The following is a 9,135-nucleotide window of genomic DNA, read 5'->3' on the forward strand; positions in this document are numbered from 1 at the left end:
TTGGGCAAGATGCTTAGCATGTAAACAGCCTGCTAAGGTTAAAAACAAGCATTTCTGTATGGAGGTGGCCTATTCACTAGATTTCCTCCTCCTCTCCCCTGCCTCATACTCTGCCAGGCTCTGGGGATGCAAAGGCAAGAGAGGCTCCATCCTGGAGGATGACCCAGTTTACAGGGGTGACAGGCTGGGTGACCCTAGTGCAAGGCTTCATGGCGTGTTCTCAGGCAGAGTGTAGACAAACCCTGGCTGGATTCCAAGGAGCTCGGGGAGTTTCCTTCAAGAAATCTAGGAAGTTTGTTTAAGACTCAAGATGGGGGAACACACTCACCTTGAGATTACATTTTGTTCATCTAAGTATTCCTAGAATTGAAACCAGTTCCTCGCATATAGTTGGTCCTCAATAAAAAATTGTTGCATGAATAATGAACTGAACAACTAACAATACAATAGGGGCTCATGAAAGGGATCATATACTTGCTTCTCCCTTTAAAATTGCACTCCAGTCTTTCTCATGTGAAAACAAACAAAAATACTTCCCTTGAAATTGCATCCCCATTCTCACGGCTCTGTTCTTTCTGTAACTAGGTTTGTAGAATAGTTTCACTTGCTGTTTCCAGTTCATTTCAGAGTCAACTTGTGACTTACATTGTGACCAAATTTCTACCTTAGCATGCCTCTGAAATTATTCTTGTTCTCAACAGCCAAGTATAGTAAACACCTTTTAAGTTTATTCTTTATTTAGTGCCTATGATGTTCCCAGCCTGATACTAAAGTACTTTCTCTGGTAAAGATACTGGATATGGTCCTGCCCTCACTGAGCTAACCTTGGTGGACCCTTGAGAAGGCTAGTTAACCTCAGGGACCTCCTCTTGTAATGCTGGCCCCAGGAATTCATAGATTTAAAGCCAGACCTCAATATTTGATTGATAAGATCATATTTTCTCTAGAGGTTTGCTGCAAGCAAAAGTGATAATCCTGACCATTTGTCAGGCAGCAAAGGGTATTTGTAACTTTTGTTTGAAAGGATGTGTTTTCCACAGAAGTTCTTCACATAGCACTGAAGTTAGGGACCCAGCTTGGTGGATTGTCAGGGTCATGCCTGGGACTTCATGACATTATATGTGATTATATGTGATTACATATGCTGCCCATGTGTGATTTTTGTTTTTTAGCCTTTGCCTTTGAAATACAGCCGAGAGGGGGAACTGGGGGCTGGGGCTCTGGCTGAGGAGACATAAAGATCTTTAGACCAAGGTCTCAGTGATTTGTTATTAGTTTTTTATTTTTTAATTTTAATTTTTTTGTTACTATTTTTTTTTGTTTGTTTGGGATAGTTTAATGGCTTCTACAGACTGAAAGTCAGCTTGCTTAAGGTAACCCTTGGCTTTTTTGTTACTTTAAGCATATGATAGTAATGCTCTTCCAATTGCCAGGAAGGCTGGGGTAGGGGAAAGTCAGCCTTTGGAAAAGCACTGCAGCATTAGTGTACACATGGTCATGGAAGATGCTAGAGAGATAATAAAGGACCACCTACATAGTAAATCTTGGAGAATAGTCATCCCTGTCTAGCTCCCCAGTTTCTTTTCAGGCTGAGAATGGGGTCCATTTCTCTTGGTACAAACGGCAGGGCAGACATGACATCCTACCTGCTCATAACAGTGAATGCCACATTTGAGTATGTAGAATAGTGGGAGAAGGTACTGGTTTAGAGTTGGGAAACCTGGCCAAGGCATTGGCTTCTCTCATTTCATCTCAGCAAGTTTTGGGGGCACACTTACTGTGTGGTAGGCATTGTGATACAAAGATAAATAAAACATTGGCCCCCTCCCCTTGGAGCTCATGGGACTTTTGCTAGATAAGTTGGGAAATTTTATTTTGTCATATGTTGTAGGCAACCCGAGGAAGCACACTATTTTCCTGGAGGTGGTAAATACCATCTGTAAAAGGCAGACTGAAGCCAACAGTGTGTGAGGGTATTGAGCCTGATATGTAAACTATTTTGATGTCACTTGTCAAAAATAGCCATCTGTACTCTGATATCCTGTAAGGGGAATGACTTTGGTTATAAGGTTATAAAAATTAGGAGTATGGCTGGGCGCAGTGGCTCACGCTTATAATCTCAGCACTTTGGGAGGCCGAGGCGGGTGGATCACCTGAGGTCAGGAGTTCGCGACTAGCCTGGCCAAGATGGTAAAACCACGTCTCTACTAATAATACAAAAATTAGCTGGGCGTGGTGGCACATGCCTGTAATCTCAGCTACTTGGGAGGCTGAGGCAGGAGAATCACTTGAACCCGGGAGGCAGAGGTTGTGGTGAGCCGAGATTGGGCCACTGCACTCCAGCCTGGGTGATAAGAGTGAAACTCTGTCTCAAAAAAAAAGAAAAGAAAGAAAAGAAAAAAGAAAAAAAAAATTAGGAGTATGAGATCTTCGGTTGTGTATTGTCCCTTCTTGCTTTTGGGCACAATTAGGTCATGCTGCTGCTTCACTTAGGGTAAGTATGTGGTTAAAAGTATGTGGTTTTAGGATTTTTTAGGGCAGTGGAACTACTGTGTATGTGCTATAAATGTGGATACTTGGCATTATACATTTTTCCAAACCCATAGGATATACAGTACCAGTAGTGAAGCCTAATGTAAATTATAAGCTTTGAGTGATTAATTGGAACAAATGTACCACTCTGGTGGGGGATGTAGATAATGGGAGAGTCCATGCAAGTGTGGGGGCAGGGCATGTATAAAAAATCCCTGTACCTTCCACTCAATTTTCACATGAAACTAAAACTACTCTAAAAAGGCTATTTACATTTGAGATCAGGAGTTCGAGACCAGCCTGGCCCACATGGTGAAACCCTCCCCCGCTGTCTCTACTATAAATACAAAAATTATTTTGGTGGAATGCGCCTGTAATTCCAGCAACTCGGGAGGTCAAGGCATGAGAATCGTTTGAACCCGGGAGGTGGAGGCTGCAGTGAGCTGAGATTGTGCCACTGCACTCCAGCCCGGGCAACAGAGCAAGACTCCATCTCAAAAATAAATAAATAAATTACAAACAAACTCTATTTAAAAAAACCTGACTAAGAAGACATCAAGCACAACTTTACCTAATTCTAGACACCGCTCTAGTAATAAAAGTGATAGTATTATAGGTACTTGTGATTCAGGGGAAAAAAATGCAGGTGTGTGCTGTTTCCCCTGAATCCCTTAACAGTGTCACTATGGAGCTTGGAAATCTGTTAAAGACCACTGAAGAGGAAGCTGAAGCTCTGTTGGTCCATCAATAATACTGTGACAACCAAAAATTTGCATGAGGGGACTTAAATGAGTCAGGAAACATGTGATTTAACTTAGTGAAGATTTTCACTCCTTTCAAGTTCCTGTTAATGTTAGTTCTCTTTGACATAAGAATGTGTGATTTTAGGGTGGGGTTGGCTGGGATGGTTTTTACTGTAATAAAGAACACTTGTTGAAGGACTTCTTGTCTTCTGTCAGTTTACTTATATCTTAACACAGTACCTCTGGCCTCAAAGATGGAATCCAGTTGAAGTGAAAGCAGATCCAAACTGTATCATCAGGGAAAGCTGAGCTTGTAGAATTCATTTTCAGTGACTGGTACGAGATTGTGTACTTCTGGTTTGGAGCATATTGAAGAATTCGACCCTGGGCAACCTTTTTCCTGGAATTGAAATGTTCATCGGGTTTTTACTCTGTCTTGAAATAGGTCCCCAAAATAGAGTTTTTCAAACTTTAATGGTGCGTATAGCAAGTGTACAAATCACTTGGGGATTATGTGAAATACAGACCCTGATTCAACAGGTCTGGGTAGGGTCTGAGTTTCTTCATTTCAAACAGGTGCCCAGGTGTCTTAGTCAGCTCAGGCTGCTGTAACAAAATACCATAGACTGACTGGGGGTCTTAAAATCCAGAAATTTATTCCTCATAGTTCTTGAGGCTGGAAGTCCGAGATTGGGCTGGCAAGCATGGTTAGGATCTGATGAGGGATCTCTTCTTGGCTTATAGGATGCTGCTTTCTTGCTGTGCCCTCACATGGCAGAGAGAGAGAGAGAGAGAGAGAGAGAGAGAGAGAGTGAGAGAGCGAGGTTTCTTATGTCTCTTCTTATAAGGGCACTAATTCCATCACGAGGGCCCTAGTCTCATAACCTCATCTAAATCTAATTACCTCCCAAAGGCCGCATTTCCAAATAACATCAAATTGGGGGTTAGGCTTCAACATATGCATTCTGGGGCAACACAGTATAAAGCACCAGGTGCTGCTGCTGATGTTCTACAGACCTTATTTTGAGCAGCAAGGCCCTAAAAGAAGCTTAATATACCCCTGAAAATTTGAGGGTCCTAAACACGCCTTACTTAACTCTAAGATAATTGATGCAAGAGATCAAAATTGTTAAGAGGTCTAAATTTTATGAATGTAATAAATAGTTTGGTAAGGTCATTGTTGCTCATGCTATAAAATTGTGCCACCTGTATCAAATTGTGATTTTATGAGAATCTTAAATGATATGTTGTGAGATAGGCCTTACGTGTGGAGTTTATACAAAAGCAGTTCAGTATGCAACTTAACTGATCCATGAGACGTTAATAATGACACAAAAAAAGGGCCAAAATGAGATCTTATCACTAAAGGCCATAGAAATTGAAGGAGCAGTTTCCAATATAAATTATCTTTGGCTAGAAATTTTTTTGCCAACATGACTGTATTAGTCTATTCTCATGCTGCTATGAAGAAATACCCGAAACTGGTTTAATTGACTCAGTTTCTCATGGCTGGGGAGGCCTCAGGAAACTTGCAATTCTGGTGGAAGGGGAAGCAAACACATCCTTCTTCACTTTGTGGCAGGAGAGGGAATGAGAGCCAAAATGCTGCCAGTCTCTTTGCGTTGCAAGAGTGACATTTACTTCAGTTCTTAACAAGTTCCTCATCTCCATTTGAGACCACCTCAGCCTGGACTTCATTGTCCATATCACTATCAGCATTTTGGTCAAAGCCATTCAAAAAGTCTCTAGGAACTTCCAACCTTTCCCACATTTTCCTGTCTTCTGAGCCCTCCAAGTCTCTAGGAAGTTCCAAAGTTTCCTGTCTTCTTCTGAGCCCTCCAAACTGTTTTAACGTGTGCCTGTTACCCAGTTCCAAAGTCACTTCCACATAATTGGATATCCTTATAGCAGTACCCCACTCTCTGTTGTACCAATTTACTGTATTAGTCTGTTTTCATGCTGCTATGAAGATATACTCAAGACTGGATAATTTATAAAGAAAAGAGGTTTAATTGACTCACAGTTCCTCATGACTAGGGAAACCTCAGGAAACTTACAATCATGACAGAAGGCAAAACAGGCATGTCTTACATGGCGGCAGGTGAGAGAAGTGAGTGCCAACTGAAGGGGGCAGCCCCTTATCAAACCATCAGATCTTGTGAGAACTCACTATCATGAGAACAGCATGAGGGTAACCACCCCCACGATTCAATTATCTCCGTCTGGTCTCTCCCATGACACATGAGGATTACGGGAACAAAAATTTAAGATGAGATTTGGGTGGGGACTCAGCCAAACCATATCAATGACCAATAGAACAGAGGAAATTCATGAGTTTTACCATATTTAGATAGTTTCAGATAAGGTGACTTAATGTACTTCAATATTTGCATTAATTGCTATGGGTATAGAATGAAAGTGTGATCCTTGAATATCTGAGACATGTCTCAGTTAATTTAGAAACTTTATTTTTCCAAGGTTGAGGACACATGCCCATGACACAGCCTCAGGTCATGATGACCTGTGCCCAAGGTGGTCAGAATACAGTTTGATTTTATACATTTTAGGGAGAGATGAGACATTAGTCAATGTATGTAAGATGAACATTGGTTTGGTCTGGAAAAGGCAGGACAACTTGAAGCAACGGTGGGGCAACTCGAAGTGAGGAGGGGGGCTTCCAGGTCATAGGTAGATAAGAGACAAATGGTTGCATTCTGTTGAATTTTTGATTAGCCTCTCCGAAGGAGGCACTCAGATATGCATTTATCTCAGTGAGAAGAGGGGTGACTTTGAATAGAATGGGAGGCAGGTTTGCCTTAAGCAGTTCCTCGCTTGACTTTTCCATTTAGGTTAGTGATTTTGGGGCCCCAAGATTTATTTTCCTTTCACAAAAGTAACACCATATTTCAATAATTGTAGGTAGCATCATATATCAATAATTTAGAAATATGTTCTCAAGTTTCTTTGCCCAAGTGGTGGTCACTGTACAAACTTCAAGATCTTAACGACCTTGTAGTTAAATGTTGCTGGAAACTGTCTTATCTGTGTTTACTGTTTTTCACTCATTCTGTCATTTAACCAATATTTGTTGAGCACCTTCTATGTGCCAGGAGCTATGCTAGGTATTGGTGGCATGGCACTGAATAACATGGACATAGTCTTTGTTCTCAGATAGTAATCACTTAATTTCAAAGGTGATGAATGTAGTGATGAAGTATAGGGGACTATGGGATCTTACAGTAGGAAACTGACCAAGGTTGTCAGGAAAGGTTTCCTTGAAATAAAGGATGGGGCACAACATCTTTTTGACTGGGAAGAGCTTCCTCATTCTCTTCAATAACCAAACTCTATCCAAGAAATTGCTGTCTAAAAATTGAGTGTCAAAGTAATTGGACCTTGGAAGTTGTCAAAAGATTTCTTGAGAAGGCTAGCAAGGATGTATAGCAAGGGGAATGCTTGTACACTGTTGGTGGGAATGTCAATTAGTACAGCCACTATGGAGAACAGTATGGAGGTTCCTCAAATAACTAAAAACAGAACTACTATATGATCCAACAATCCCACTGCTGGGTGTACGCCCAAAGAAAGGAAATCAGTATTTCGAAGAGATGTCTGCACTCCCATGTTTATGGCAGTACTATTTACCATAACCAAGATATGGAAGCAACCTAAATGTCCATCAATGGAGGAATGCATAAAGGAAATGTGGTACATATATACAATGGAATTCTGTTATTTGCAACGATATGGATGGAACTGGAGGACATTATATTAAGTAAAATAAGCCAGGCACAAAAAGACAAACATCACATGTACTCATTCACATATGGGAGCTAAAAAAAATTGAAGTTATGGAGAGAGAGACTAGAATGATGTTTACCAGAAGCTGGGGAGAATAGTAGGTACAGGGGGATAAACAGGGAGTGGTTAATGGATATAACAGTACAGTTAAATAGAATGAATAAGTTGTAGTATTTGGTAGCACAATAAGGTGACTGTAGTTAACAACAATTTATTGTATATTTAAAAATAACTAAAATAGGGGAATTGGAATGTTCTTAACACAAATAAATGATAAATAAATGCTTGAGATGATGGATACCCCAATTACCCTGATTTGATCATTACATACTATATGTCTGTATCAAAACATCATATGTGCTCTGTAAATATATACAACTATTACGTAGCCATATAATTAAAAATAAAAATGAATTTCTGAACAACTAAGGGACTGCTATTTTACTAAGACTCTGATGGCAACTGAAATAAAAGTTACAAATGAATCTTTTGTTTTAAGAATAAAATCAAAGACAGGGAGAAGAATTGGAACATCTAATGTACGCTGTGTATATGTACACATAATTGCTCGACACTAAAGAGAAGAGGACCTTTGTGGAGCCCCTCATGTTTATACCACAGAACCCATACCTGGTACTTGCTATTTCTCAGCTGCCATGGTTCTTTCTGAGGGCAGCGTCTTGCCAAAGCTTACCAACCGTTTCTGAAATAGTATTTACTATTTGAGGAGAGCTCTGAGTTAAGCATTTTCAGTTCAGATGTTGTTTTCCCCTTGAATTTTCAGCAAACCATGTGGAACCTCTGCTTCCTCAGATTCCTGGTATGGTGCCATATTGTGGTCAAAGAGATGTCCAAGAAGTCCTGTTTGCCTCAGATAGTACCTCACAGAGTGTCAGTATCTTAGGAGGTCATTACTGGTCCAGACATTCTGTCTTCATTAAGTAATCAAAGGGAAATAACATTCTGGAAATGGAATAAAACCAGCCATACATATAAAAGAGCAATTATAAATAAGAATGTTAATTTATCAATTTATAACAACTGATAGATCTAGTTTGGGAACTGGAGTTGGTCATTTGTACAGGTATATTCCTGATGGGACAGTTCAAATTGATAAATTAGCATTTGTCTATTAAATACAGAACCAGACAGGAGGAATTGGAAATTCTGAAGGACATCATTAAATGTTGCAGTACTTCAGTCCCCTTTTCTCTTTTCTACATACTACCCATGGGTATCCTCATCTCATCCCAAGGCTTTAAATACCGTCTGTGTACCAGATAGCACAGCATAGTAGTAATGAACATGGGCTCTGGGGTCAACCTGCCTGGGTTTTTCTTCTGGTTTTGCTCCCAGTAGCTATGTGGCCTTGAGGAAATTTTCTGTTTCTTTATCTTTAAAATGAAGACAATAACACAGTGCCAACCTCACAGGGATGTTGGGAGTGTAACTCAGAAAATATTCATAAACTACTTAGATATGCCTGGCATGTAGTAAGTACCCAATAAATGTTAGTTATATACCAAGTACTCCCAAATCTCTATTTCTTGCCCTGACTTCTCCCCAGAATTCTAGACTTATAAATCTAAGTGCTTATTTGACATCTTCACAAAGACATCTAAGAGATATTTCACACTTACTATAGAAATTAGTAGCCTAGGGAGATAAAGATAATGTTTGTCTGTGGGGCAGAGAGCAATGATTTTACCAGGCTCTTGAGTACGGATCTGTGTCAGTAAGCAATCTGCGCTTACTTTCAGTTTCAAGTGACTGGTGGTGATCCAGGTTCACGTAAACAAATTCTGTTTGTGGTCTACCCAAACATCTATATCCTCACTACCAACACCATTTATTTTAGCTGTGGGGACCCCTTAACTAGTGGCCACTGCCTTATTGCTTGTTGGCTTGTGCCATGGGGCTTACTGTTTCATCATAATAATAGCCCTCCCTCCTTCTGCCCAGAGGAGAAAGAACAAATACCATTTGGACAGCTTGCTTCAATCCAAACTAATACCCCTCAGCCCCATTAACAGGTAGAACAGTGGGTATCCTCATTCTC

The 9,135-nt window shown here is 40.4% G+C and overlaps 1 long non-coding RNA gene across 1 annotated transcript, besides 1 other annotated feature; it reads right to left on the bottom strand.

Annotated features, from left to right (window-relative positions):
- Positions 617-846: an enhancer, noted in NCBI's record as "active region_1923". NCBI's record gives its function as "activates an Ori minimal core promoter by ATAC-STARR-seq in GM12878 lymphoblastoid cells {active_cell/tissue: GM12878}" and the evidence as "EXISTENCE:reporter gene assay evidence [ECO:0000049][PMID:35858748]".
- Positions 3,614-8,926, bottom strand: LOC105371467 (uncharacterized). Its single transcript, XR_922202.3, has 3 exons — positions 8,831-8,926; positions 7,707-8,039; positions 3,614-3,675 (listed from the first exon to the last, which is right to left on the bottom strand). It is a non-coding gene; the product is annotated as an uncharacterized LOC105371467 (long non-coding RNA).
- Positions 8,927-9,135: the final 209 nt, after the last annotated feature.

Source organism: Homo sapiens, chromosome 1 (genome assembly GCF_000001405.40).
Source record: "Homo sapiens chromosome 1, GRCh38.p14 Primary Assembly".
NCBI classification, from domain to species: domain Eukaryota; kingdom Metazoa; phylum Chordata; class Mammalia; order Primates; family Hominidae; genus Homo; species Homo sapiens.